This window comes from Homo sapiens, chromosome 3 (genome assembly GCF_000001405.40).
Source record: "Homo sapiens chromosome 3, GRCh38.p14 Primary Assembly".
NCBI lineage: Eukaryota > Metazoa > Chordata > Mammalia > Primates > Hominidae > Homo > Homo sapiens.
In genome coordinates, this window is record NC_000003.12 from 49,715,217 (window position 1) to 49,743,075 (window position 27,859).

The 27,859-nt window shown below is 51.5% G+C and overlaps 4 protein-coding genes across 10 annotated transcripts in view, besides 7 other annotated features; 1 reads left to right on the forward strand and 3 right to left on the reverse strand.

Annotated features, from left to right (window-relative positions):
* RNF123 (ring finger protein 123) overlaps nt 1–6,313 on the forward strand; it is a 31,973-nt gene extending 25,660 nt beyond the window's left edge. For both annotated transcript variants that reach the window (NR_135218.2, NM_022064.5), the window contains exons 32-39: nt 359–498; nt 606–794; nt 886–961; nt 1,177–1,261; nt 5,295–5,437; nt 5,584–5,678; nt 5,804–5,889; nt 5,969–6,313. Coding sequence is in view for 1 of the 2 variants with exons in the window: in NM_022064.5 (NP_071347.2) it covers nt 359–498; nt 606–794; nt 886–961; nt 1,177–1,261; nt 5,295–5,437; nt 5,584–5,678; nt 5,804–5,889; nt 5,969–6,089 (935 nt within the window). In the remaining variant the exon portion in view is untranslated. The remainder of the gene's footprint in view (nt 1–358; nt 499–605; nt 795–885; nt 962–1,176; nt 1,262–5,294; nt 5,438–5,583; nt 5,679–5,803; nt 5,890–5,968) is intronic.
* Nucleotides 1,613–4,468, reverse strand: AMIGO3 (adhesion molecule with Ig like domain 3). The gene has a single exon (NM_198722.3). The coding sequence runs from the start codon at nt 4,247–4,249 to the stop codon at nt 2,735–2,737; it is 1,515 nt and encodes a 504-aa protein (NP_942015.1). The 5' UTR covers nt 4,250–4,468; the 3' UTR covers nt 1,613–2,734.
* Nucleotides 1,888–2,388: an enhancer, noted in NCBI's record as "H3K4me1 hESC enhancer chr3:49754537-49755037 (GRCh37/hg19 assembly coordinates)". NCBI's record gives its function as "activates a minimal SCP1, AML or CMV promoter by ChIP-STARR-seq in primed H9 embryonic stem cells {active_cell/tissue: H9 hESC(primed)}" and the evidence as "EXISTENCE:reporter gene assay evidence [ECO:0000049][PMID:30033119]".
* Nucleotides 3,434–4,241: an enhancer, noted in NCBI's record as "H3K27ac-H3K4me1 hESC enhancer chr3:49756083-49756890 (GRCh37/hg19 assembly coordinates)". NCBI's record gives its function as "activates a minimal SCP1, AML or CMV promoter by ChIP-STARR-seq in naive H9 embryonic stem cells {active_cell/tissue: H9 hESC(naive)}" and the evidence as "EXISTENCE:reporter gene assay evidence [ECO:0000049][PMID:30033119]".
* Nucleotides 3,723–3,832: an enhancer, noted in NCBI's record as "active region_19872". NCBI's record gives its function as "activates an Ori minimal core promoter by ATAC-STARR-seq in GM12878 lymphoblastoid cells {active_cell/tissue: GM12878}" and the evidence as "EXISTENCE:reporter gene assay evidence [ECO:0000049][PMID:35858748]".
* Nucleotides 4,603–4,832: an enhancer, noted in NCBI's record as "active region_19873". NCBI's record gives its function as "activates an Ori minimal core promoter by ATAC-STARR-seq in GM12878 lymphoblastoid cells {active_cell/tissue: GM12878}" and the evidence as "EXISTENCE:reporter gene assay evidence [ECO:0000049][PMID:35858748]".
* Nucleotides 4,700–8,735, reverse strand: GMPPB (GDP-mannose pyrophosphorylase B). Of its 2 annotated transcripts, NM_021971.4 has the most exons (9): nt 8,382–8,735; nt 8,176–8,256; nt 8,038–8,086; nt 7,756–7,898; nt 7,380–7,538; nt 7,216–7,294; nt 7,015–7,142; nt 6,749–6,931; nt 4,700–6,667 (listed from the first exon to the last, which is right to left on the reverse strand). In NM_021971.4, the coding sequence occupies exons 1-9, from the start codon at nt 8,508–8,510 to the stop codon at nt 6,536–6,538; spliced, it is 1,083 nt and encodes a 360-aa protein (NP_068806.2). In that variant the 5' UTR covers nt 8,511–8,735; the 3' UTR covers nt 4,700–6,535. The 2 variants fall into 2 exon arrangements, with proteins under 2 accessions (NP_068806.2, NP_037466.3); NM_013334.4 differs by having other exon boundaries at nt 6,283–6,931.
* Nucleotides 5,827–6,004: a silencer, noted in NCBI's record as "fragment chr3:49758476-49758653 (GRCh37/hg19 assembly coordinates)". NCBI's record gives its function as "represses an EF-1alpha promoter that drives an FKBP-Casp9 reporter gene in an ReSE screen in K562 erythroleukemia cells {active_cell/tissue: K562}" and the evidence as "EXISTENCE:reporter gene assay evidence [ECO:0000049][PMID:32094911]".
* Nucleotides 8,039–8,138: an enhancer, noted in NCBI's record as "active region_19874". NCBI's record gives its function as "activates an Ori minimal core promoter by ATAC-STARR-seq in GM12878 lymphoblastoid cells {active_cell/tissue: GM12878}" and the evidence as "EXISTENCE:reporter gene assay evidence [ECO:0000049][PMID:35858748]".
* Nucleotides 8,779–9,228: a silencer, noted in NCBI's record as "silent region_14372". NCBI's record gives its function as "represses an Ori minimal core promoter by ATAC-STARR-seq in GM12878 lymphoblastoid cells {active_cell/tissue: GM12878}" and the evidence as "EXISTENCE:reporter gene assay evidence [ECO:0000049][PMID:35858748]".
* IP6K1 (inositol hexakisphosphate kinase 1) overlaps nt 9,078–27,859 on the reverse strand; it is a 62,249-nt gene continuing 43,467 nt past the window's right edge. For all 5 annotated transcript variants that reach the window (NM_001006115.3, NM_153273.4, XM_047449323.1 and 2 more), the window contains 4 exons: nt 22,996–23,206; nt 17,575–17,756; nt 12,887–13,062; nt 9,078–12,439 (listed from right to left, as the gene is read on the reverse strand). In NM_001006115.3, the coding sequence (NP_001006115.1) occupies nt 11,906–12,439; nt 12,887–13,062; nt 17,575–17,695 (831 nt within the window). In that variant the 5' untranslated portion in view covers nt 17,696–17,756; nt 22,996–23,206 and the 3' untranslated portion in view covers nt 9,078–11,905. The remainder of the gene's footprint in view (nt 12,440–12,886; nt 13,063–17,574; nt 17,757–22,995; nt 23,207–27,859) is intronic.

Sequence of the window (27,859 nt, forward strand, 5' to 3'; positions counted from 1 at the left end):
TGGGGAAGCATCTAAGCCGCCCTGTTTAGGTCTGACCCTATCTGAAGGGTGTGCGACCCAGAACTTGCTGAGGGTCAGGCTGTGGCTGTGTGGCTGCTCTGGACCTGGAGTGGATGGTGTGGTGTCAGGGCTGGACACAGCTGCAGCCTGGGGCTTGCCTAGTAGAAGGAGGGGACAGATTCTGTCCCAACTAACTCCAAGGCAGCTGTCCTCTGTCCCCTGCTTTCATGACCTGAGCATTCCTAGGGAGCCATCTTTCTGTCCTTATACCAAAGCCTCAATGGGCGAGGACAGAGGCAAACAGGCAGAGGCCACTGCAGTGGAGTCCCTGATGATGCCGCCTCCTGTCCCCCTGCAGAGCCCTGCCCTTCCACCCTGCTGCAGCAGCACATGGCGGACCTCCTACAGCAGGGTCCTGATGTGGCACCCAGCTTCCTCAACAGCGTCCTCAATCAGCTCAACTGGGCCTTCTCTGAATTCATTGGCATGATCCAAGAGGTGGGCTGTGGTGGGGCCTCGTGGGTTAGGGTGGTGCAAGGGATGAGGCCTGGTCCTGGGCTAGAGCCAGGTGCTGACCACTGCATGCCCACGTGTTGGTGGCTCAGATCCAGCAGGCTGCTGAGCGCCTGGAGCGGAACTTTGTGGACAGCCGGCAGCTCAAGGTATGTGCCACCTGCTTTGACCTCTCGGTCAGCCTGCTGCGTGTCTTGGAGATGACTATCACACTGGTGCCTGAGATATTCCTTGACTGGACCCGGCCTACCTCTGAGATGCTGCTGCGGCGTCTTGCACAGGTGTGGCCATCTGGGCAACAAGGGTGGGACCCTGGGGATGCCCCATTGATGACGCTCCCCATCCACCAATGGACTCCTGCTCCCCTCACAGCTGCTAAACCAGGTGCTGAACCGGGTGACAGCTGAGAGGAACCTGTTTGATCGTGTGGTCACCCTACGGCTGCCTGGTGAGGACCTAGATGCCCTGCACCCCAACACACTACAGGCCTCGGTTCCTCTGCTAGGAACAGTGAGGCCTGATTCCACATTCTGCCCCCGGACAGCCAGACTTGGTGCTCTGCAGTCTCGGCTCACCCTTCTGTAGAGAGGGCAGTGGGCAGGCCTGGAGCCCTTGAAGCAGGAGCATGTGGGTGGCTCATCTCTTTCCTCCCCTTCCCCTCAGGCCTAGAGAGCGTGGACCACTATCCCATTCTGGTGGCAGTGACGGGCATCCTGGTGCAGCTCCTGGTGCGTGGCCCAGCCTCAGAGTGAGTGTTGGGGACCGTGGGCCCCTGTGGGAGTTGGGTGTGTCTGGTGAGGAGGGGCTGGACAGGGCCTCCTGGTACTTCAGTTTCCTCATCTGGAAAATGGACCTCAGCATCAGGTTTTGAGGCAGAGGGAAGGTGGTGAGGTGTGAACGGCCTAAATAGGGGGCAGACGGAGCTGCTCTAAGTAGGAGAATCTGGGACCCCAGCAGGACAGGTGGCCCTGGCCCACAGAGCCACTGGCTTGTGGCCATGCCTCAGGCCAGGCATGGGAGGCAGGACTCCGGAGGGTGTGCCGTCCTGTGGTGGACAGGGCCAGGCCGCCAGGAGAGCTGAACACACGGAGGACCGCCATTGTCTGCAAAGGCTCTAGCAATAAGCATGTGCTACCTTTATTAAACTCTGGAGCAGCGAGGTCCAGGATGGCCATGGGGGCCCCCAGCTCGGCCCCCACACATGAAGGGCTCCCAGACCCCCCTTCCCTGCCCCCCTGCAGTGGGAGCAGTGAGATGCATATGAAGCCAGGGTACCGCCTCAGCCATTAGGCTGAGACCAGTGCCAGCCCTTAAGAGGCTCCTGCTCTCGAGGGACGTGGAGTTCCGGCTCGGCCCTCCCAGCTCGGCCATGCTCGCCAGGCTTTTCGGGCTTTTTACTGCTGAAAAGCAGGGGTGCAGGCCATGATCCCCTTCACTGTGTCTTGTGAGCCCACAGAATGGGCTCTGCCTTCAGAACAACGGGTGGATGCCCCAGGCCAGAGAGAGCAGGGCCTCTGGCTGGGGCTTAGGCCAGACCACCAGGAACCTCTTGAGGAGCCTTTCCTGCCTGGTGCCTGCCCACCGGACTCTGCGTGAAGTTGTGAAGCTTTCAGGAGGTTGGGTGTTGGTGGATGGAGGGAGTCCCATTTCACCAGAGGGCGGGCTTGTTTCCTCTTTCTGTCCTGGGGTGTGGGCGAGATCTTCCTTCAGAGCCGCCTTCTTTTCCCTGTGGGCCCACTCCCTCCCACCCCCTTGGGAAGGGGAGGTGGCCCTGCGTCAGCTCTTGAGCACCACTCCTCGAGAGCTGTCTCAGCCCCTGAGGGTGGACGGGAGGCTCTGCTACAGGGGTTCTTCCACAGGCTGTAGAAGAACACAGCCACTTCCACAGCTGTGCTGTGTTGAAAGCCACAGGGGCCTGGGTCTCTCAGCCTCACAGGGCATTTGGGCACTAGGAAGTCCGCGGGAAAGCAGGAACTAGCACACCTTGCAGGGCCTGGGGCCTTTGGGTCCTGTGCAGGGGCAGAGCAGAAGGCAGGTTGGGGACCACAACCCCTGTCTCTACCAGTGAGCGAGAAGGCCCATTGTGTTTCGAGGCCCATACAGGAAGCTGGGGGGCCAGGCACAGTGCTTCCCACCAGTATCTGCCAGTTCTCTGGACCGAAGCAGGGAGCAGGGCGAGCAGCAAGAGGGTGGGGGCCTGGGTGGGGGAGCCCTGGGCAGTCTAGGTTGTCATGGGACCCTCGGAGCCTATGGAGCTGGCGGACTCAGAGCCAGCCTTCAGCTGCAGGCCTCCAGGGTTGTAGAGATCGAATTCCTCAGCTACTGCCAGCTGCACGCGGCCATTGAGGCCCCTCCGGCCTGGCTCCAGAAAGACTACGTGCTTGTGGACGCTGGCCTTGCGGCTGGGTGCGTCTGGCGGTGTGGTGCTGAGTACTGAGGACTGTGCGCTCAGCTCTTGGAGCGGGCTGGGTGTTTGGGGCCAGCGGCGGCAGCGGCAGGCACGGCGGCAGCAGCGGCAGGGTGGGGCGAACAGGTAGAGCAGCACGAGCACAAGGCCCACGGCACAGCCCAGCAGTGTGGTGAAGCCTGTGTTGAAAGCCTCGGGCTCTGGGCGCGGAAAGTGCACGCTCACGTTGTACTCGTGCGTCTGGTTGTGGTGCAGGCGGGGCCCAGTGGCCAGGCACACGAAGAGTCCCGCATGCTGCTCCTGTACGTTGCCTATGGCCAAGCTGCCGTCGGCCAGCACCGCGATGCTGCCATCGCGGGATCCTGGCGCCCTGAGAAGCTCCTGCTGCGGCGAAACCCAGGCAATGCGCATGGCCGGGACGCTGGTGTTGCAGTAAAGCCTCAGGGACCGACCCACCAGCGCGTACAGGTGCTCTTCCGGCCGCTCTAGGCCAAGAGCTGGGGCCGACGAGCAGTTCTCAAAGACGCGGCTGTGCTGGAAGAAGCGCACGCGGGACGCGGGTACCTTGAAGGCCAAGCATACGTACTCGCGCGCAAAGTCGCGCACGGCGCTCAGGCCCCGCTGGTGCCAGCGCTGTAGCAGGTGGTAGAGGCGGCAGTCGCAAGGCAAAGGGTTGTTGTGCAAGTAGAGGCCGTTCTTGAGGAAGGCCGGCAGCGCGGCCAGCTCAGGTACGGAGATGTGTCCCAGCCGGTTGGAGGAGAGGTCCAGAGTAAGCAGGTGGGTGGCGCTCAGACCGTGCAGGTGGTCGAAGGAGAACGAGGCGAGTTCGTTGCAGCCCAGGTAGAGATGGCTGAGCGCGCGCAGGCCGTGGAAGGCATGCTCGTCCAAGTGCACCAAGCGGTTATTGAACAGAAGCAGCTTCTCCAGCGCCCCCAGCCCGTCGAGGTCGTGGCGGCCAAGCGCCCGCAACGTGTTAGATGATAGATCGAGCAGCCTCAGGCCGCTGGCGTTGACGAAGACGCCGCGACCCAGCGCATCTAGTTCGTTGTGGTCTAGGTGCAGGGCGCGCAGCTGGAAGAGGGGCGCCAACCAGCCGGGGCGCAGGCGCTGGAGCGCGTTGTGGCTCAGGTCGAGGTCCGCAGTAGCGGCAGGTAACTCGGCTGGCACGTCCTGCAGCCCTAGGCCAGTGCAGCTTAGCAGGTCGGCAGCGCAGATACATTTGTAGGGGCAGTTGTGGAGCGCACGGGGCGGGAAACCCTCGGAGTCCGGGGTGCCTAACCCAACGCGCAGCATGCAGAGCAGTGTCCCCAGCAGCACCAACCAGGTCATGGCGGCGACCACCAGGGACAGTACAGAGCAGCTCTGTGCAGGTTGCAGTTCCAGGACTCACCCTCTTCTGCTCTAGTGCGACATGGGTGGCACCGGATGGCCCTTGCCGAGGAGGCACGGCGGGTTCTTGCCAGCCGACGGCCCCTACTCTCCGGTTCCCAGGTTGTGAGGCGGTGCGGCACTCTTAGCCGCGCTCCCTTCGGCTTCGCTAGCCCTCTCCAAGCGAGTTCCTGATCGGCTCCTAAATACTCCCCCCAGGGGCGGGGCCCGGGCTCCTATTGGTTCCCGTTTGAGGAGGCGGGGCGGCTACATCCCTTTGTGCCCAATGGCCCCGCATGACCGCCAGATGGGGAGCAAGGCCAACCCCAAAGTCCCCGTCAGCCTTTGGCTGGCAGCTCTCCGCCGCTCGTTTTTCCTCGGGGAGTAAAAGGGGGAGTCTGGAAGAATGTCTCCAAGCTGCTGTTAGTGTTTATTTGAAGTGACTTTGAAGGACTGATAATATTATGGGGCAGGCAGACTCTCACTATCTTAAGGTGGTTCGCCTGAGCCTTCTTAAAGTGGTACCCCAGGCCGGGCGCGGTGGCTCACGCCTGTAATCCCAGCACTTTGGGAAGCCAAGGCAGGTGGATCACCTGAGGTCAGGAATTCGAGACCAGCCTGGCCAACCTGGTGAAACCCTGTCTCTACTAAAAATACAACAATTAGCCGGGCGTGGTGGTGGGCGTCTGCAATTCCAGCTACTCGGGAGGCTAAAGCAGGAGAATCACTTGAACCCGGGAGGTGGAGGTTGCAGTGAGCCGAGATCGTGCCATCGCACTCCAGCCTGGGCAACAGAGCGAGACTCGTCTCAAGAAAAAAAAAAAAAAAACAGGCTGTGTGGCACCTTACTAGAATACAGGACTTGGGGTTTGGGAAGCAGGGAGACGGAAAGGATGCAGGGGGGGTGATCATGTACGAGCCATGGCACTCCTCATTGGCAATCCCAAGAGAGACTTTTAGCCAGGCCCCAAGCCTTCTGACTGCCCTTGCACCCTCCCCTACCTAGGAGAGAGCAAGCCACATCAGTGCTCCTGGCAGATCCCTGCTTCCAGCTACGCTCAATATGCTATCTCCTGGGACAGCCAGAGCCCCCAGCACCTGGCACTGCTCTGCCAGCCCCTGACCGGAAGCGCTTCTCCCTGCAGAGCTGTGAGTGGGCTGGTGGGGCAGGTCAGGGAAATCTGGGGCTGGGTCGGGTCAGGAGCCTTAAGAACAGCAAAGTCCTAGGCTGGGAATATTCAAGAGGCATCACATCCTCAGCTACCTCTGACTTGACACTACCTACCACTCCCCAGATGCGGATTATATCAGTGCCGATGAGCTGGCCCAAGTGGAACAGATGCTGGCGCACCTGACCTCTGCATCTGCCCAGGCAGCAGCTGCCTCCCTGGTGAGTGGGAACACGGTGCACAGGTCCATGCCACTTGAATATGTGTGCACTCCTACACAGGCACAACGGACATCCACATAGCCAGGCATCCAACTCCAGCCCACCCTTCACTCTCCTCCCTGCAGCCCACCAGTGAGGAGGACCTCTGCCCCATCTGCTATGCCCACCCCATCTCTGCTGTGTTCCAGCCCTGTGGCCACAAGTCCTGCAAGTAAGTGGGCCCCACAGCTTGGTGGTGGGGAGAGCAGTAGGTACATGCAGGGCAGTCCTCATCCCCTCCCCTGTTGTAGAGCCTGTATCAACCAGCACCTGATGAACAACAAGGACTGCTTCTTCTGCAAAACCACCATCGTGTCTGTAGAGGACTGGGAGAAGGGAGCCAATACGAGTACTACCTCCTCAGCTGCCTAGCCCTCACAGCCTGTGCCATCCTGGAACCTCCACCTTTGAACCCAGAGCCAGGCTGGGCCCTATTTATGAGCTCCCTTTGCCCTTCTCCTGTATCCCACACCACCACATCCAACCTCCTTGCCTGCCTGTATCCTCATTGGTGGGAGCCCAGCCATGGCCCTAATTGTGCCTGAGCTTGACTTTCAGTCAGGGCCACAGTGAGCATTAAATTATTATTCCATACAGCCCTGGCCCTGGCCCTTCTTGAGGGAGTGGGGTTTGTGGGGTGTGCCCAGCAGGGATCCTGCCAGATGATGTCCACATGAGAAGGCAGGTGTCCAACAGCTTCAGCTTCACCCAGTGCCCCCCAGACAAATAATGACAAGTCCAGGGTCTTCTGATGTGTCAGGCCAGCACTCCCCTTGCTGATGGGAAAACCGGGGCTCGGCCAGCCCCACTGCATCCCCTCACATGATGATACGAGGCTCTGGCACTGACTCGCCAATAGACTTGTGGGGCAGCACGCTGGCTCCGTTGAGGTAGAGCTCATCATTAACTATGACGTCCTCACCCAGCACTGTCACGTTCTCCATGCGTACCTCCAGGAGAGGATAGGCCTTGTCAGGGAGGCAGGCACACTCCCCGCCCCTCTCCCCACCCAGCCCAGCCCACAGGCTTACCCACTGACCCACGCGGCAGCGCCAGCCCACAATGCAGGACTCAAGCCAGGAATGGGAACGGATCCGGGCATCCCGCAGCACCGTGCACCGCCGGATACACACACCATCTTCGACCACCACGCCAGGTCCCAGGCTCACATTGGGGCCAATGCTGCAGTTCTGGCCGATGCGGGCACTTGGGTCCTGAGAGCGGTGGGAAAAATACAAGTGGGCCACTTGTCTCCCAAGACTGAGGGGGTTAATGATGGGCTGGGCAAGGGCCTCACCACCAGCACGTTGCCCACAATGCCAGGGCCTGAGCACAGCCGCTCAGGCTGCTTCTGCCTCAGTGACTGCAGGAAGAGGCACATGCCAGTGAGGAAGTCCTTGGGCTGCCCAATGTCCATCCAGAAGCCTGTAGGGAGGGATGCATCAGGGGCCTCAGCCCAGCCACAGACCACCCCCACCCTGTGGCCTCCCTGCCTCACCCTGTAACTCCATGGCATATAGCTGCCCCTCCTTGGCCATAATGGGGAAGACCTCCTTCTCAATGGACGTAGGCTGCAGCTGTGGGAGTGGGCAGCTTGTGAGCAGGGTCATGGCGGTGATGGCCTGCCCCACCCCAGCCCACCAACAGCTGTCTCCTACACACCTGGATGCGCTGCAGCACTGCAGGGCTCAGGATGTACATGCCTGCGTTGATCTTATTGGACACAAACACCTGTGGCTTCTCCACGAACCGGTGAATGCGGCCTGTGTCAGCCTCACACACCACCACACCGTACTTGGAGGGTTCCTCCACCTTGGTCACCTGAATGCAAGGAAGGGGACCTCGGACCTAGTCCAGTGTTCCTAAGCCTTGATACACATGCCGTTCCAGATCTCAAGAGACTCTGCCCCAAGTGCTTAAAGATACATACTGCACAGCTCTGTATCCATAACATCCGAAGGCAGATGAAGGCTAGGGGGCATGGGAGGCTGGGCATGGAGGGTGAAAGTGTCAAGAGAGAGAAGACCTGGCGCCTTACCAGGATGGAGCCCTCCTGGCCATGGTGCCGGTGGAACTGCACCATGGCTTGGAAGGGGAAATCGCAGATCACGTCACTGTTGAGGACGAAGAAAGGGTCTGCAGTCTCAGAGAGTAGGTCACGGGCCAGCGCCAGGGGCCCAGCTGGGGGAAGGGGACAGGTCACCACCTTGCTGGAGGTCTGAGTCCCTGGATTCAGGCTCAGCAGGCCCACTCCAGGCTGGGTCTTACCCTTTTCCTGGCCTTAAACCCTCCCCCAAGGGACCTTTCTGCCTCTACTGACCTGTCCCCAAAGGCTCCTCTTCATGGGACATGGAGATTCGGATTCCCAGCTGGAAGGAAGAGGCCCCCCCAGTCAGGTTCTACCAGGATGGGAAGTTGGGCGGGGACCGAGAATAAGGGCCAAGAGTCTGTGCCTCACCCTCTGCTCCTGTGCCTTCATTTCCTTCTCCAGCACCTGCGACATGTAGCTCACGGCCAGGATCACGTGGTCCACGCCTGCCTGTCAGAACGCAGGCCGACGGGCGGGCTCAGTCAGAAGGTACGGGAGCCCCTGACCCCTAGTCGCTGGCCATCCCTAGTCCCGCCAGATCCGAACGCGACTCTGATCCCGACCCAGGGTCTTACCGCGGCTAGCGCCTCCACTTGGTGCAGCAAGATGGGCTTATTGCAGAAGTCCACCAGTGGCTTCGGGGTGCTCAGCGTCAGCGGCCGTAGCCGCGTCCCATAGCCCCCCACTAAGATCAGTGCCTTCATCGCGCCTGCGGACGTTGAGGGGGTGTCCCGGGCTCTGAGGTGCCTGCAGCCCGCCTGGCCGGTCCCTGCCGCGCACTCCCAACGCCGTGCCCGGCCCCGCGCCCTTCACCAACCCGCCTGACAGACTCTGGCTCCACCTCGTCCGCCCGGTCGCCCTGACGCCGGATCCAGGGCCGCCACAACACAGAACGCGACACCGGGTAGACGGCTGCTGGCCCCGAACTCAGGCCGGACCCGGCGCGGGCAGTGACGCGACCACCGCGGGCCAATCGGCTGCCGCGTACGTGGCACGGCCGCCGGCGTCGGAACGTTGGAGCGCAGCGCTGCGACAGACGTAGCCAATGAGCGCCCGAGTACGCCGGGCTGCCATGGAGACCCGGGCCGGGACCCGCGGGTCAGCTGGCCATTGGCGGATCCAAAGGCGGAACTGGCGCCAAGGGCGAGGCCTTGTTCCCTGCTTCGCCGCGGTCCAGCAGCCGCCGGCCCCGCCCCACGGCCCCGGCCTCGCCCCGAGGGTGACCAGGGAAGGCTCCCGGGCCACGGGATTTTCACAAAGACAGACTCGCCTCCGTTTCTAGCGGCTTTATTTTTGACATACACGACCTCAGACACAAGCGGGGCGGGCAGCGCTAGGTGTACAGAAAGGAGCGGGCTCGGACCGAGCACCCCCTCCCCCGCACGCAAGGTCCAAAGCAAACGCAACTGCGGCGGGAGCCACCGGCGCAGGCCTCGGGCGGTGGAGACAGGCTTAGCTTCCAGGAAAGAGCAGCAGAGAGCGATTCCCAGAACGCGAGGGCTTACAGTTCCCCGAGAAGCAAAAGAACCAGGTCCTTCCCAGGGTTCTCCATTATTTTTTCCTCATTAAAATATATTTTAAGTCAGCACAAACATAACCAAATTGTACAGCTTTAAAGTTCAAAGCAGTCTGCATCTAGGGAACGTGCATGTGGTCAGGAGTGAGCGCGTGAGCAGCGGCTACGTAACTAGCACAGGTGCCAGGCCCCTTGATGGGAATCCCCATGCTCACTGCACAGGCCCAGAGAGGGAGGGGTGGGGTCCCTGGCAAGTTGCTACACTGGTCCCCTTCCTCTTTTAAGCACCACCCGTCCCACCCCACCCTCAGGGGCTGGTGTCAGCTTGGCCCAGGGAAGCACTATAGAGAGGGCTCACCTGAGCACCCCAACCCATGATCCCATGTTGCACTTTGTTCCCAAGTTGGGGCTAAGAAGGCTGGGCCTGGCAGGGACAGGGCTCTCTGGCATGGGGCAGGGAGAAAGCAGTGGCAGACAGTATGCACACACACTTGCCCACTACCATTAAATAACAGGGCTGGGTCTCCAGGTGTCCAAAGTGCTGAAAAGAGGGGCCCTGCTCTAAGGGAGCAGCAGCAAATCCCAGGCCTTCCCACTCTTTGTAGTGCCAGGAAAATACTGAATGTAAGTGGGTGCAGCTTTGCTCGCTGTGAGGAGCAGCAGAATGCGGCAGCCTCTCCTCCCAGAATCGAGGAATCTGGGAGGCACAGGACATCCCCAAAAGGTCCCAAACAGTTCCAGACCCTATGTCTTACCCTCCACCCTACCAGGGAATGACTATCTACACTAATGAAGGGCTACTGCCCCCATGGCTGAAGCCACAGAATGGTACAGGAGAGAAGACTGTAATTTGTGACCAGAAACAGGCAAGCTGTCCCTCCCAGCCCCAAAGAATGGGAACCTGCCCACCAGTGGCACCAGGGCTGGGGGCTAGGAGAGATGGCATCCATCAAGGAGCCCTTAAGAGGCTGCATCTTTAAGGACCAGGAAATGAGTCCATCAGTTACCAAGGCTTCTCACAGCTGGCAGGCTTACCTTTAAAGCCAAACAGGCACTTGCCTAAAGTGACAATGAACAGTGTGGCCCTAGGCTCAAAGGAGAGGGTGCTAACCTTGGCAATGGCTGAAATCGGTGTCACCTCCTGGCCATCTGTTAGAAGCAGCAGATCTGTGCCATTAAGGGCTGGCAGCCAAAATGACTAAAACCATGAGAAAGGAAGGGTCACTCCTCAAGCCCTCACTGCCCCACTCTAAGGGTTGAGGGCCATATTCTAGGCCCACAGAAATGGTGCTGGGTCAACAGGGAAACACCAATTTATTCTGCTATCAGGTCTTTATAAAAAGGCAACACCTGTGGAGGAAGGGCATGGGGCAAAAGCTCACCTCAGAAGTGGAAGTGTTCTGCTGAGGAAAGCATGAAGGAATGAGTATATACTAATGAACAAGGCTACACCCCAGGGGAAGGATCCCAAGGGACGGGCTGGCAGCCGGACACATGGACAAACTGATGGACCCAGGACTGATCAGACAAAGCTCTCATTAGCAGAATGTGGGCACCTGCACCCAGGGCCCATACCACGTCCCTGTGAGCAAAAAAGCTTAAAGTTCTCCCTCCAGGCCCAGGGCCAAGAGCGCCTCACAAAGGGCTGCTGCCTTGAACTTGGCCTGGGGAAATGAGACCCTGAGCGGACCACAGCCCTTGAGCCCTGGGAGGAGCAGCCCATCCAGCAGCAGCACAGCTGCCGAAACTTGAGGAAGAAGACTCCCACCCATAGCACAAGAACTGCAAATACTGTCTGGGCCAGAGCCACCAGAGGCCCTGAGGCCTGCTAGGACACCGACTATCCCCCACTTCAGTGGGGTGGGAGGGAGTGGCCTTCTTAGGCAAGGGAACTTGGTGAGAGAGGCTGTTTCAGGAATAGGACAGGTGCCAACCTGTCACGTGCCAACAGGTGCCTGGGGAACCCAGGCGCCGCCCTCTGCCATAAGTTGGCCTCAGCCCAGCTTCATTAATCTAGCCCCATGCTAAGGTCAGACCGAAGGATGGGTCCAGCTTTGTGCAGTCAGCCCTGTGGTGCCCTGAGGGCACCTATTAAAGAGCTAGCTGACACCCACAGCATAAGACTGGAAAGCCCCCAAGAAATGGGCACCCAGAGCCCTCTACTTCTGGGGAACAAGGGAAGAGTGGGCGTGGAGGGGCCCTGCACCAGCCCAGGGCTTTACCTTACAATCAGCAGGGCCCTGCAGCCACAGATCTCAAAGATCTAGACAAGAGAAACCAATGTCCAAGGGCACCCTGTCCCTGCTGCCAAGCCCACCAGGGGCACCTCTTCCTTCCTAAGGCAGCCTGGACACACCAGTCAGAGCCACAAAGCTGAGGAGCCTGGCTGAGAGGGCGTGTGGTCTGCCCTCCTTCACTTTATATATATGGATTCCAGGCTACAGCTAAAAACATTTCTTTTAGTTTACACCAAAGAGAAATATAACCCTTTAAAAGCAAGTCTGTGTGTCCTCACGGCAAGTTCAGAACAATGGTCCCTGCCTGCAGTGGAGAGGAAGGGGTTCTGGGGGCCCAGAACAGGGCCTACTGGTTCTCGTCCCGCATCTGTTCCATGATGCTGATGAGGTTCTCCAGGCCAAACACGTAGCCTCTGTCTGGCCCATCATGCACGGTGGGGTCATCCCGGAAGCCCTTGAATGTGCTGTGTGCAAAGTCAATCATGCGGACATCCACCTTGGGCTGAGAGGAGGGACCCGCCTCGGGGCTGGTGTTGCTGGGGCTGGTGCTGGGGCCACAGGATGACGCCACCTCAGGGAGCACCATGTCCAGGTGCTTGAGACGCATCTCAGACCGGCGGTCCAGGCAGGACTCAGCCCGGCACTCCTTGCCATCATAGATGACAAGCAGGGAACTGGAGTAGAAGCGGTAAGAGGCCTGCCGCTCCAGCACAGCTTTCAGGCCCCGCAGTTTGCTCAGGATAGGCTCAAACAGGTCACGTCGCAGGTCCAGGCCATTGTGCAGATATTGATAGAGGGCATTGCGGAAGCCTTCAATGGAGAGCCCACGGCCATAGTACTTGTTCCTGCAGAGGTAATGCCCTGTGTCCAGCTGGTACACCTGAAACCCCAGGAGGCAGACAGGGTGAGTGCCAGGGAAGTCTGAAGAGCTCACAGTGCCCTGGGCAAACACTGTCTGGAAGGGACTTTGACCAACCTGAGCTTTTCTGCTCACCTATCTAAGTGGAACCAGGCAGGCCACATTCACCCTGGGTTTTCCCATTGCAGAACCAAGAGAAAGCAATACCAGGCCTATGGGTTCCCTGCCCCCAGCTTTGGAGCCCTCCTCCAACATCGGAACATCTTGTTGACAGGCAAGAGTCTTATTTGTCCCAATGTCGAGGCAGCAGACTCTCACAGTGGTCCTGCACCTGAGGCCCATATCAAAGTCAACAGGTAAGGACAGAGGGGCTCAGGAGGACACACTTGGCATAGATGGCAGGCAGGTATGAGCACAACCCAAATCATGCAAGTGGCAGCACCTAGGCTCTGAGCAGAGGTAACTCACCTGCATGCCGCAGACCCTGACGCCCAGCGTGGCTGATGTGCTCTGCTCGCATTTCCGCATCTGCCGGGCTGCCTTCTCAGCTGACGCGTCATCGCCATGCTGCCGCGTGCCCATCTTCAGGTCCAACACGCAGGGGTACTTGAAGTGGTGCACCACGTTCTCAAGCAGGAGGAACTCTGGGCCACGGTCAAGGAGAATGACAACCACACTCACCATCAGCCCCAGCCAGGAAAGCACAACCCAGTTTTTCTATAAAAGGGGGCTTTTACCTAATGCAGTATGTACTTGTCTCAAACTCTCAAATATGGGTTTCACACCACTGGCTTATTACTTAACCAATAAAAACTGTGGTAAAATATACATAAAATTTACTTCAGCCATTTTTAAGTGTACAATTCAGTGGCATGAAGTACATTTACTTTGTTGTATAACCATCACAACCATCTATCTCTACTCACAACCATCTATCTCTAGAACTTTTCTTTTTTTTTGAAACGGAGTCTCGCTCTGTTACCCAGGCTGGAGTGCCCTGGAGTGATCTCGGCTAACTGCAACCTCTGCATCCCAGGTTCAAGCTATTCTCCTGCCTCGGCTGCCTGAGTAGCTGAGATTACAGGTGCCCGCCACTACACCCGGCTCATTTTTTGTATTTTTAGTAGAGACAGGGATTCACCATGTTGGCCAGGCTGGTCTCGAACTCCTGACCTTGTGATTCGCCTGCCTCAGCCTCCCAAAGTGCTGGGATTACAGGTGTGAGCCACCACGCCCAGCTAGAACTTTTTCATCTTCCCAAAATGAAAAGAGATCCTCTCACCCTCAGCCTCTGGAACAACTAGGACTACAGGCATGCCTAATTTTTTTTTTTTTTTTAGATGGAGTCTCGTTCTGTCACCCAGGCTGGAATGCAATGGCGCCATCTCGGCTCACTGCAACCTCTGTCTCAGGGGGTTCAAGCCATTTTCCTGCTTGTACCCATTAAATAGCACTGAACAGTGACTCCTCATTTTCCCTCCTCCCAGCCCCTGGGAACCTCTAGTCTACTTTCTGTCTCTATACATTTACCTTTCCTGGGTATCTCATAAGTGGAATTATACAGTATTTGTCATTTTAAATGTCTGGCTTATTTCACTTAGCAGAATGTATTCAAGATTCATTTATGTTGTAAGCATGTATCAAAATTTCATTCCTTTTTCTGGCTAAATAATTTTCCATTGTATGTATATATCACAAACTTTTTTGTTGTTGTTTTTTGGTTTTTTAACCTAAGCTCTAGGGTATTTTTATGTTGATTTATTTTTGTTATTTTTTATTTTATTTTTTTTTTGAGACGGAGTTTCGCTCGTTGCCCAGGCTGGAGTGCAATGGCACTATCTCAGCTCACCGCAACCTCCGCCTCCTGGTATCAAGTGATTCTCCTGCCTCAGCCTCCCGGTAGCTGGGATTACAGGCATGTGCCACCATGCCTGGCTAATTTTGTATTTTTAGTAGAGACGGGGTTTCTCCATGTTGGTCAGGTTGGTCTTGAACTCCCCCGACCTCAAGTGATCTGCCTGCCTTGGCCTCCCAAAGTGCTGGGATTACAGGCGAGAGTTACTGTGCCCAGCCTTATTATTATTATTTATTTTTATTTTTTATTATTTTTTTTGAGACAGAGTCTCACTCTGTTGCCCAGGCTGGAGTGCAGTGGCTGGATCCAGAGCTCGCTGCAGCACTGACCACCTGGGCTCAAAAGATCCTCCCACCCTCAGCCTCTGGAACAGCTAGGACTACAGGCATGCCTAATTTTTCTTTTAATTATTATTTTTTTTGAGACAGAGTCTTGCTCTGTCACCCAGACTGTAGTGCAGTGGTGCAATCTCAGCTCATTGCAACCTCTGCCTCCTGGGTTCAAGCCATTCTCCTGCCTCAGCCTCCCAAGCAGCTGAGACTACAGGTGTCTGCCACCACCCCCAGCTAATTTTTTGTATTTTGAGTAGAGCAGGGTTTTACCATGTTGGCCAGACTGGTCTGGAACTCTTGACTCCAGGTGATCTGCCCACCTCGGCCTCCCAAAGTGCTAGGATTACAGGCATGAGCCACCGCGCCCAGCCGCCTACCTAATTTTTAATGTTTTTTTTAGAGACAGGGTCTCACTATGTTGTCCAGGCTGGTCTTGAACTCCTAGCCTCAAGTGATCTTCCCACCTTGGCCTCCAAAAGTGCTGAGATAACAGATGTGGGCCACCACACCCAGCCTATGTTATCTTTAGACCTATCTTGCAGGCAATATGCAAACTAAAGATTTGGATACATCCCTCACCATCAGTGAACCAAGGCCCTACTCAAGCCAGCACCTTGCCCAGGCCTAAGAAATAAGGAAGACATCTTGGTAGCACTACTACAAAAACAAGGAAACCAGATTCTAACATTCCCAAATAGGAATCTTTAGAAAAAGCTGGATTTACATTTCTTTTCTTTTTTTTTAGGATGCAGTCTTGCTCCTTTGCCCAGGCTGGAGTGCAGTAGCACAATTTCAGCTCACTGCAACCTCTGCCTCCCAGGTTCAAGTGATCCTCCTGCCTTAGCCTCCCAAGTAGCTGGAACTATAGGCGCATGCCACCATGCCCGACTAATTTTTTGTATTTTTTTTTTTGAGATGGAGTTTCACTCTTGTTGCCTAGGCTGGAGTGCAATGGCGCAATCTTGGCTCATCGCAACCTCCGCCTCTTGAGTTCAAATGATTCTCCTGTCTCAGCCTCCCGAGCAGCTAGGATTACAGGCATGCACCACTACACCTGGCTAATTTTGTGTACAGACGGGGTTTCTCCATGTTGGTCAGGCTGGTCTCAAACTCCCAACCTCAGGTGATCTGCCGGCCTCGGCCTCCCAAAGTGCTGGGATTACAGGAATGAGCCTGGATTTATATTTCTGTCTTGCCATTTGTCACTCAATTTGAAACCAGTGAATGAGAGAGAGAGATCTCGTTCACTGGTTTCAAATTTATATATATAAATATATTTATATATAAAATATAAATTTATCCCTTAATAGTTCTATAACCTTCTGCTCAAAACGATCTATGGTCCTAACTCCCTGGCATTTACATACATGTCTTCATTCCAATATATCCTATTTGCAACAATCTTATCTTTGAACTTTTGTGTAAAGGTACAGACTTATCATATGTCTGCCAAAGTCACTGGGTTTCACAGCCCAGCCCTCAAATCCATCTCTGGGTGCTACAGAGCAATCGCATCTTAGCAGATAGACACTCAGCATCACTGTGATGATGAACATTTCATTCTTTTGAAAGTAACTTTTAAATTTGGCCTGAATCAATTCTGTTGCCTGCTATTACCTATAAACATGTGATGGTAAAATATGGAGGAGGCTGCAGAAATATCTCAACACCCTGGAAGCATGGGCTCTGGAATCCTGCCTTGACCACTCACTACCTCTAGGCACAACACTTAATCCCCCTGTGCTTCCACTTCCTCATCTATAACATGGGAATGATGAGAGTTCCTTCCTCAAAAGATTGCTGTGAAAATTAACTACGTACAAAAGGTTCAGCACACTTTCCCTCAGTTTCTTAGAATAATCCAGTTGTTATTTGTCTACTACTTCAAAACACTAACAATTGTAAGAATTCCCATTCTAGGCTGGGCGTGGTGGCGCACGCCTGTAATCCCAGCTACTGGGGTGGCTAAGGCATGAAAATCTCTTGAACCCGGGAGGCGGAGGTTGCAGTGAGCCGAGATCGCACCGCTGCACTTTGGCCTGGGTAACAGAGTGAGACTCTGTCTCAAAAAAAAAAAAAAAAAAGGAATTCCTATGCCATAATACTTTTTTATCTTTTCTGGAGATGAGACAGGGTCTTGCTGTGTTGCCCAGGCTAGAAGCTAGAATGTAGTGGTGCAATCATGGCCCACTGCAGTCTCGACTTCCTGGGCTCAAGCAATCCTCCCACCTCAGAGCTGGGACTACTACAAGCACACACCACCACATCCAACTAATTTTTTTATTTTTTGTAGAGATGAAGTCTCACTATGTTGCTCAGGCTGGTTTCAAACACCTGGTCTCAAGTGATCCTCCTGCCTCAGCCTCCCAAAGTGCTGGGATTACAGGTGTGACCCACCACGCCCAGCTATCTTTAACATTTTAAATCTATTTTATGGTGTTTATCATCAGATAAAAATCTCACCAAAGTCAAATATATCACCTTTAAACTATTAATCCCTTGGGAGGGGAAAACTACACACATGCACACAAGCGCATATGGGCACATACGCAGATCTGTGATTGTGGACATGATCAATATAGTACCACTAGCCACACTAGCCACATGTGATGATTTAAATTTTAATTAATAAAATAAAATTTAAATTAACTGCCTTAGTCACAGTAGCCACATTTTAGCCACTCAGTGTGGCCAGTGGCTACCATACTGAAAAGCACACAGAATTACAGACAGTTCTATCAGACAACACTGTTCTAGACTGCCAAGTTTTAAGCTTCGGCCTTACCAAATCCAAAAGGCAGGAAAAAAACATGTTGATGAAAGTAAACGAAGGAAGAGGAGTCCATGAAAAAGGGAGATTAAACCGAAGAGGGACCCTAGACAAAGACCTCAGCCATAGGCAGAATGGTGCCCCAACACACGACCTATGGACCCAGTAGACACTCCTGAAGGAGGGGCAACGAGGATACTGTAGAGCTTTCGGTCCTTGGACTCGGAGCGCATGCGGCTCAGCTGCTGCTTGTGACAACGCAGGCTCCAGGGGTTGTGGCTGATCTTCTCAGAACTCAAGCCACTGTTGCCATCTAGCATCTGGAAAGGGACCTCTGAGTGGCTGTGCAGCTCCACCTTCGGACTCTTTGCCTCCTGTGAGCTAAGAAGGAAGAACATACACATCACTAAGAAACTCAGGCAAGTCATCCTCTGGGGTCCCGCTGCACAGGGCACAGATCTGTCCACAATGACAGACCCACAGACCCTGCTAATGGGTTGCATTAAGGTCCCATGAGCCAATAAAAATGAGTAAATGTTATGAGTAGTGTTCTTCCTGTGTCTCTTAAAACTATCTTATGTCTCTTAAAACTATCTGAAAAATAACATTTTTGTCAAATTATGTGATGAAAATACCACTTCACATCCATTAGGATGGCTACAATCAAAGAAGAAAGTGGAGCAAGTGTCCAGTATGTGAAGAAATTAGAACTCTCGTACACTGCTGGTGGGAATGTAAAATGATGCAGCCACCAAACAGTTTGGTGGTTTCTCAAAAAGTTAAACATAGATTTATATATAACTCAGCAATTCCATTCCTAGGTATACACCCAAAAGAAATGACAAGGATCCAAACAGACACTTTACGTCAACATTCACAGCAGCACTACTCACAATAAACAAAAGGAAGAAACAAGCATCCATCAACAGATGAATGGATAAGCAGAATGTGGGATATACATACAATGGAATATTATTCAGCAATAAAAAGGAATGAAATTCCTATACATGCTACAACATATATGAACTTGAAAACATTTTGCTAAGTGAAATAAGCCAGACACAAAAGGATAAATATTGCATGATTCTACTCATGTGAGGTAACTGCAAATCCATTAAGACAGAAACTAGAAAAGTGGTTGCCATGGGCTGGGGGAAGGAGGAATGGGGAGTCAGTTGCACAACAATGTGAATGTACTTAATGCTACCAAACCACGCCCAGCCAAGGAAGGAAATTTTATTTCTAAAATAAGTCAAGGCCAGGCACTGTGGGTCACAACTATAATCCCAACACTTTGGGAGGCCAAGGTAGGAGGATCACTTGAGCCCAGGTGTTCAAGACCAGCCTGGGCAACATGTCAAAACTCCATCTGTACAAAAAATTTAAAAATTAGCTGGGCATGGTGGCATGTGCCTGTAGTTCCAGCCAGCTAGCTACTTGGGAGGCTAAGGTGGGAGGATCACCTGAGCCCAGGGGGCTGAGGATGCACTGAGCCATGATCATGCCACTACACTCCAGCCTGGGAAACAGATAGACCATGTCTTAAAAATAAATAAATAATAAAATAAAATAAATAAAACCACAAAGGAGTTTTTGTGAGAAAGCAACTTCAACTGAAAATACTGGAACTTTGCCAACAATTTCATTATGCCCCAACATAAAAATCTTTGCTTGAAGTAACCAACAATACTGTCTATCATACTGAAAGGCCAAGAAAACCAAACTACTGGTGAAGCCATGTGCCCTGCAAATTACAGAGCAAGCCTGCAGCTCAGAGCAGAGGTGGAACATTACCGTAATTTCTTTTTTTTTTTTTTTTTTTTTTTTGAGACAGAGTCTCGCTCTGTCGCCCAGCAACTTCAAATGCCACTCTCCTCTCCAGAACTGCAGGCCTCTCCTCTAACTGTGTGGCATAAGTCGCACAGATTCAAGCTAACACCAGGGCTGGTGTGTGCTGGAAATGCTAACCCTCTCCAAGGGTCAGCTGTGCAACACTGGTGAAGAGGTAGTGGCAGAGACCCCATTTCCACCTAACTGAAAGTAGAGGAGCCCACCAGTGCCTCTCGGAATGATAAAACCCTTACTTTCTTCTGTGAGAGCACTGCTGAGGCCATTCAAAGATGCCTTTTTTTGTGAAACCCTTTAGGAAACAGAAAGGTTGACTTATTTGCCATGTAAACCCAAAGAAGTTCTCTGCGTCTGGATGAAGCCCCCACGGTACTTGGTATCACACCTTTTGTGTTGCAGCCCTGGCTCTGTGAAGAAACAAGCCCCACCCCTGGAATGACGGTCTCTCTGCTAACAGGTCAGACAGAGGTTTGGTCAGTACAGGTAGAGCTGTCACCTTCAGGGCAGGACCTTGAACCTGGACACAGGCGGACAGTGATGTTATTCTAGGTGATGTTATTCTATACCTTTTCACCAGATGACTCATGAAGCAACCTCTGTACCTTTGGAGGACAATAAAAAAAGCCCACTCTAGACTGGGCGCAGTGGCTCATGCCTATAATCCTTACGCTTTGGGAGGCCAAGGTGGGAGGACTGCTTGAAGCCAGGAGTTTCAGACCACCCCGGGCAACAAAGTGAGACCCTATCTCTACAAAAAATTTAAAAATTAGCTGAATGCAGTGGTGTGCACCTGTAGTCCCAGCTACTTGGGAGGCTGAGGTGAGAGGGGATAGGAAGGCTTGAGCCCAGTATTCAAGGCTGCAGTGAGTCACTGATGGTGCCACTGCACTCTAGCCTGGGTGACAGAGCAAGACCTTGTCTCTAAAAAGAGTGGGGGGAAAAGCCCACCCTAAAGCGCTGTTCAGAGAGAACCATCAATTGTCAGCTACAGACTTGGGGAACATTCTTTGTCACCTGAACGACCAAGTTAGGTCCCACAGTCATTAGTCAAGAAGCAGCCTCTTGGGGAGTGAAGGGGAAGCACTAGAAGAAGTGCTTCTGTGGACTGGAAGCCATCTGTCCAAAGAACGTTTGACATTTGAAGACCCTGCTTACCAAGAAGTGGGTATGAAGCTCTCTCCTTGCATGAAAGATGCAGACTGGCCAAAGAGGATCTGCTGACTGAGGACATGGGAAATGACACATAACCCCACTCAGCCAGTGTCTCATGGGGTACTGTACTTGACATGGGCATGTCCTTGTTCACCAAACTGAGTGAGGAGAACTGGAATGTCCTAGGCCTTTACAAAGCTTCAGGGGCACAGGTATGTAGCATGTATTGGTGAACTGATCTGATATCACAGATGAACTATGTACTGTCTCATCTAAGGAAATTCCCAATTTCAGCTTCTAAGTCAAGTCACAAAAGCATCTTACTGAAACCTTTTTTTCTTGAGACAGAGTTTTCACTCTTGTTGCCCAGGCTGGAGTGCAATGGTGTAATCTCAGCTCACTGCAACCTCCACCTCCTGGGTTCAAGTGATTCTCCTGCCTCAGCCTCCCAAGTAGCTGGGATTACAGGCCCGCACCACCACACCTGGCTAATTTTTTGTATTTACTAGAGATGGAGTTTCACCATGTTGGTCAGGCTGGTCTCGAACTCCTGACCTCAGGTGATCCACCCGCCTCGGCCTCCCAAAGTGCTGGGATTACAGGCGTGAGACACCATGCCTGGCTCATAATTCTATTATTATTTTTTTATTTTTTACAATTCTGTGGTTTTTTAGTGAATTCACAAGATTGTAAAACATCACCACTACCTAATTTTCAGAACATTTCATGACCCCAAAATCAAAACCATCATCATTAGCAGTCACTCCCTATTTCCCACTACTTCCAGCTCCTAACTACTAACAGAAAGCAACCACTAACCTACCTTTTCTCTCTATAGATTTGCCTGATGTGAACACTTTACATAAATGGCATTGTACATATGTGGTCTTTTGTGTCTGGTTTCTTTCATTTAACATAATGTTTTCATGATTCATCCATGTTGTAGCATGTACCAGCACTCCATTCCTTTTTAGGGCTAACATTCCATTACATGGATATACCATATTTTGTTTATCCATTCACCAGTTGATGGACACTTGGGTTAGCCAGAAACTGGAAACAACCCTAATAGAAATAATTTTAAGAACATTTTTGTACAAATTTTGTGGGAATATATGTATTCAATTCTTTTGGGTATATACCTAGGAGTGGAATTACTGGTTTAACTTTTGGATTTAATTTTTTTTTTTTTTTTTTTGAGATGGAGTCTTGCTCTGTTGCCCAGGCTGAAGTGCAGTGGCATGATCTCGGCTCACTACAAGCTCCGCCTCCTGGGTTCACGCCATTCTCCTGCCTTAGCCTCCCGAGTAGCTGGGACTACAGGTGCCCACCACCATGCCCGGCTAATTTTTTTGTATTTTTAGTAGAGACAGGGTTTCACCGTGTTAGCCAGGATGGTCTCGATCTCCTGACCTCGTGATCTGCCTGCCTTGGCCTCCCAAAGTGCTGGGATTACAGGCATGAGCCACCAAGCCTGGCCTTTTTTTTTTTTTTTTTTTTTTAGAGATGGGGTCTCACTATGTTGCCCAAGCTGGTCTGAAACTCCTGGCCTCAAAGGATCCTCCCACCTCAGCCTCCTGAAGCATTAGGATTACAAGCGTGAGCCACAGCACTCAGCCTGGTTTAACTTTTTGAAGAACTGCTAAATTGTTTCCCAAGTGGCTGCACCACTTTACCTTCCTACCAGCAGTGTAGGAGGGTTCCATTTCTTCACATCTTGTCAACACTTTTATTGTCTGTCCTTTTGATTATACCCATCCTAGTGGGAGTTCATATTAATTCTTGCATGAAATTATCAAGACACATAATTTGAGGCTGGTACAGTGGCTCATGCCTATAATCCCAGCACTTTGGGAAGCCAAGGCAGGCGAATCGCCTGAGGTCAGGAGTTCGAGACCAGCCTAGCCAACATGGTGACACAACATCTCCACTAAAAATACAAAAATTAGCTGGGTGTGGTGGTGCACGCCTGTAATCCCAGCTACTTGGGAGGCAGAGGCAGGAGAATTGCTTGAACCCAGGAGGGAGAGGTTGCAGTGACGCAAGATGGCACCACTGCATTCCAGCCTAACAGCAAGACTCCATCTCAAAACAAACAAAAAAACATAATTTGAACTTACAAGAAAAATCAATTTCCAACACAACGGAAACTAAATTTTAGTTGCAGGGAAAGCGTTAATGACTGATATGATTCTCAGAGGTCTGACACAAAAACCATTAGGGAACTCCTGGTTGGACTCATAGCCCTTGGGCTTGGACATCCTGCAGGTCAGAAAGCATTTGGAGCCTCGCTACGAACTAATGTATTTCAACCTTCTGTCCTGTGGGTGGCAAGACATAATGAAAAGCCAGAGAACCTTTTGTCACCAGCACAGGGTGTCCCTGCTTCCAAACGGCTGAGAGAGCTTCACTTCCTCTCTCAACCAGCTACAGCTATACCCAGAAAGAGGCACCACTGGGGTGATGTGACACAGAGAAGAGGCTACACCTGTGTGGGTATCCCAAGAACACCAGTCATCTTATCCAACCTTGACTGTGAGCCCTGCTTCCCCATGATGTGTCAGGACTATGGAGACGTCTTGAGTGCTTGTACCAGCAGGACGAAACATGTACCTCTTACCTCTCAGAGGTCTCAAGGGACAGGCTGGCTTTCTCCTCCTTGTGGTCACTGCCACTGCCTGACCGGTGCAGGCTCCGGCGGGAGTGTTTGCGCCGAGGTTGCTCCCGTTCTGTTGTGTCATCCTGTTCCACAGTCTCACTTTCCACATAAGGATAGGCCACTAAGTTGATGTAACCATCACTGTCCCCCTCAAAACAGACAGATACCACGCCTGTTAAAAAAAGGGCAGTTGGTAAACAAATGTCAACACAGGCCGAGTCTATGCAGCACAGACTGTTGGCACTCACTTTCCCACACAGCATGAAGACATCACCTGCCCTGAACCAACTACAGATCAATATCAGAACAACAGCCAGCAGACAGTAACTTCCAGAAAATGGATGACCGTCCATCCCCAAGCTAAATCTGATGCTTACCTTTGTTCCTGGATAAGTCTATATTTCCCCTTCTCTTATCTGGCCCTCTCACTTTCAATTACTGATTTTTTGTACCATTCAAAAGAACTGTGTTCGCTAGGTGACACCCACACCTGGCATCACTTAACCCTCTAGTTACTTAAGTGCTTTATGCTGCCATTTCCTGTGTGTGTCCTCCTTTAGATCTAGTTTCCTTCTGCCTGACAGTGTCAGCCAAAGGGACATCAACACTTCTCCCTCCAAGACGGTCCAAAAAAATCTGTGTTCTGCCCACACTGAGCATCAGGCTATCCCAGCCTCACTACACAGAACTTCCACCCCTGGCATCTCGAAGATAAAACATCCTTCTGTTTGCCGTGCTGTATCCGTAATAGTTTTTTGTGCCCATTTTAATCAAATGGGTTGTTTGTAGTGTCTTCTGGATCTTAGTGAGTTAAAACACAAATAAGACCCCTCTCAAGTGTTCTTAATACAATTTAAAAATACATATATCCAGAAACTTGAGGAGGAGGTTTTGAAGGGAAAAAAAAGTAACTTGGTCTCACTTCCACATCCCACCTTTTGTCTGTCAGCTACATTTCTGCTTTTATACTCTCAGATGTACACAGTTGGCTCTATAATCTGAAAATCAGTGAGAAGCATTTATGGTTTATTTTTTGTAGAGACAGGATCTCCCTATGTTTTGTCAATTTCTTTTATGTTGTAGAATAATTATTGGCTTAAAGTTCTTTTTTTTTTTTTTTTGAGACAGAGTCTCGCTCTGTCGCCCAGGCTGGAGTGCAGTGGCGTGATCTCGGCTCACTGCAAGCTCCGCCTCCCAGGTTCAAGCGATTCTCTTGCCTCAGCCTCCTGAGTAGCTGGGACTACAGGCACCCGCCACCATGCCTGGCTAATTTTTTTGTATTTTTAGTAGAGACGGGGTTTCACCATGTTAGCCAGGATGGTCTCATCTCCTGACCTCGTGATCCACCCGTCTCGGCCTCCCAAAGTGCTGGGATTACAGGCGTGAGCCACCAGGCCCGGCCTAAAGTTCTTTATAATATTCTTCTTCTTCTTAAGAGACAGGGTCCCATTGGAGTGCAGTGGTGCCATCATAGCTCACTACAACCTCGAACTCCTGGACTCAAGTGATCCTCCTGCCTCAGCCTCTCAAGTAGCTGGGACCTCACCTGAGATCAGGAGTTCCACACCAGCCTGGCCAACATGTCGAAACCCCATCTCTACTAAAAATACAACAGTTATCCAGACATGGTGGTGCGTGCCTATAATCCCAGCTACTCAGGAGGCTGAGGCAGGAGAATCACTTGAAGCCGGGAGACGGAGGTTGCAGTGAGCCAAGATCAGCCTGGGCAACAGAGCAACACTCCATCTCAAAAAAATAAAATAAAAATAAAATAAAATTGTGGTGTTTGGGCCAGGTTCAGTGGCTCACACTGTAATTCCAGCTCTTTGGGAGGCCAAGGCAGGACTGCTTGAACACAGGAGTTCAAGACCAGCCTGAGCAACACAGCAAGACCCTGTCTCTATAAAATATAAAAATAAAAATAAGTTGTGGTGTTCAGTCAATAGATCGATCGATAGAAACATAAAATTTGCAATTCTTTTTTTTTTTTTTTTTTTTTTGGTAGCGACAAGGCTTGCTATGTTGCCCAGTCTGGTCTGGAACTCCGGGCCTCAAACAATCCTCTTGCCTTCGCTTCCCAAAGTGCTAGGATTACTGGTGTGAGCCACCATGCCCAGCCATTTAATCATTTTTAAAGGTACAATTCAGTGGGCATTAAGTACATTGACAATACTGAATAACCACCACCATTATCTATTTCCAAAATGTTTTTCATCACCTGAAACAAAAATGCTGTACCCATTAAGCAGTAACTCCCCATTTTCCCTTCCTCCTAGCCCCAGTAACCAAATCTACTTTCTATCTCTACAGATTTGCCTATTATGCATATTTCATATAAGTGAAATCATACAATGTTTGTTCTTTTGTGTCTGGCTTAGTTCACTTAGCATAGTGTTTGCAAGGTTCATCTGTGTCACAGCATATATCAGAACTTCATTCTTTTTTATGGCTCAATAGTATTCCATTGTAAGTATATATCACATCTGTTATGTATTATCTATATTGATGGACACTTGGGTTGTTTCCACCTTTTAGCTATTATGAATGATGCTGTTGTGAACACTGGCTTACAACAATCCATTTGAATCCCTGTTTTTTCTTTTTTCTTTTTTTTTTTTTTTGAGATGGAATCTTGCTCTGTCGCCCAGGCTGGAGTGCAGTGGTGCAACCTCAGCTCACTGCAATCTCCGCCTCCCGAGGTGATTCTCCTGCCTCAGCCTCCTGAGGAGCGGGGATTACAGGTGCCTGCCACCACGCTCGGCTACTTTTTGTATTTTTTAGCAGAGACAGGGTTTTGCCATGTTAGCCAGGCTGGTCTTGAACTACTGACCTCAGGTGATCTGCCCGCCTCCCAAAGTACTAGGATTACAGGCATGAGCCACTGCACCTGGCCACAGTCCCTGTTTTCAATTGTTTTGGATATATATGTAGGAGTGGAATTGCTGGATCATATGGTTTCTGTGTTCACCTTTGGGAGGAACTGCCAAACTCTTTTCCACAGTGGCTACACCACTTTACATTTTCATCAGCAATGTTCCCATTTCTCCACATCCTTGCCAACAGTTATTTCCCTTTTTTCTTTAAACTATTATAGCCATACTAGGTAAAATAAGATACCTGGTATGAAGTGGTATCTTATTTTGGTTTTGATTTGCATTTCTTAATGACTAATCATGTTGATGTGCTACTGGCCATCTGTATGTCCTCTCTGGAAAAATCTCTATTCAAGCCCTTTGTGCAGTTTTGAAACTGGGTGATTTTTATTGCTTTCAAAACATAATCAGAAGAATACTAAATTTGGAAAAATAAATATTCTAAGGCTGCTAAATAAGAACAAAGCCAGAAATAAACACACTGCTTTCTCCAAGTGGCTAGGAAACTTTAACAGTCCCAAACACTTTATAAATGTAGCTTCAGCCACCTATCCATCCACATTCAAAACACTGAAGGCCAAACATTCTGCCATAAATATGCCAAAGCCAGAAATAAAACTATAGGCCCTGTCAGCTCATGGAGTCCTTCTGATGCTAAGGAAAAAATCCCTTAAAAGGTAAATGAGCCCTGCTTCCAGATAGGTGTTCTCTAAATTACAACCATCAGAACTGGGACAAGACAATTTAGAACTTCAAGGTGCCTCCCAGGGAAGGGTTGGCAGTCTCTAGCACTGGTTCAGTATTTCCTCACACCTTCCTCCTCTCAAACTGAGTAACAGGTATCTTTAAAGGCCATAATATGAGAGGATTGCTTGAGGTCAGGAGTTTGAGTCTGCAGTGAGCCATGACTGTACCACTGCACTCCAGCCTGGGCGACACAGCAAGACCCTGTCTCAAAATAAAAATAAAAAAATAAAAGCCACAGTAAATTCTTAGGATCTACTTTATTTTCTTTGCTTAGGCTACATTTTCACTAGGAAAGAATAAATATGCTAGCTCAAAAGTACAATTCAATTAAACTAAAATTAATCCCTTCTTTCTAAGTCAAATGAAGCCCAATTTAGTCAAAGAAAATAGAAGCATAGGCTGGGCACGGTGGCTTACGCCTGTAATCCCAGCACTTTGGGAGGCTGAGGGGGGCGGATCACGAGGTCAGGAGATTGAGACCATCCTGGCTAACACGGTGAAACCCTGTCTCTACTAAAAATACAAAAAATTAGCCGGGCGTGGTGGTACACGCCTGTAGTCCCAACTACTCGGGAGGCTGAGGCAGGAGAATGGCGTGAGCCCGGGAGGCAGAGCTTGCAGTGAGCCAAGATCGCGCCACTGCACTCCAGCCTGGGCAACAGAGTGAGACTCCATCTCAAAAAAGAAAAAGAAAAAAAAATAGAAGCATAGTGGAAGATATTATTAGTCAAATTAATCTATTTCAGGGCCAGGCATGGTGGCTCACATCTGTAATCCCAGCACATTGGGAGGCCAAGGCAGGCAGATCACTTAAGCTTAGAAGTTTGAGACCCGCCTGGGCAACATGGTGAGACCCTGTCTCTACAAAATACAAAAAAAAAGAGCCGGTGCACACCTGTGGTCCCAGCTACTCCAGAGGCTGAGGTGGGAGAATCACTTGAGCCCAGGAGGTCAAGGCTGTGGTGAGTTGAGATCGTGCCACTGCATTCCAGTCTGGGCAACAGAGTGAGACCCTGTCTCAAAATAGTATATAAATAAATAAATTGGACTAAAATTTTATATTAAAAAAACACACAGTCCAGCCACGGTGGCTCATACCTGTATCCAGGCACTTTGGGAGGCCAAGGCAAGTGGGTCACTTAAGGTCAGGAGTTCGAGACCAACCTGACCAACATGGTGAAACCCCATCTCTACTAAAAATACAA

Bases quoted from the DNA above. Each gene is read 5' to 3' on its own strand.
- AMIGO3 (NM_198722.3), bottom strand. From the start codon at position 4,249: ATGACCTGGTTGGTGCTGCTGGGGACACTGCTCTGCATGCTGCGCGTT.
- GMPPB (NM_013334.4), bottom strand. From the start codon at position 8,510: ATGAAGGCACTGATCTTAGTGGGGGGCTATGGGACGCGGCTACGGCCG. The intron at 8,087-8,175 runs GTGAGGCACAGA...TCTTCCTTCCAG, and splicing joins TGAAGGCACAGGAGCAGAGG to CTGGGAATCCGAATCTCCAT. The intron at 7,899-8,037 runs GTCAGTAGAGGC...CCCTTCCCCCAG, and splicing joins AGAGGAGCCTTTGGGGACAG to CTGGGCCCCTGGCGCTGGCC.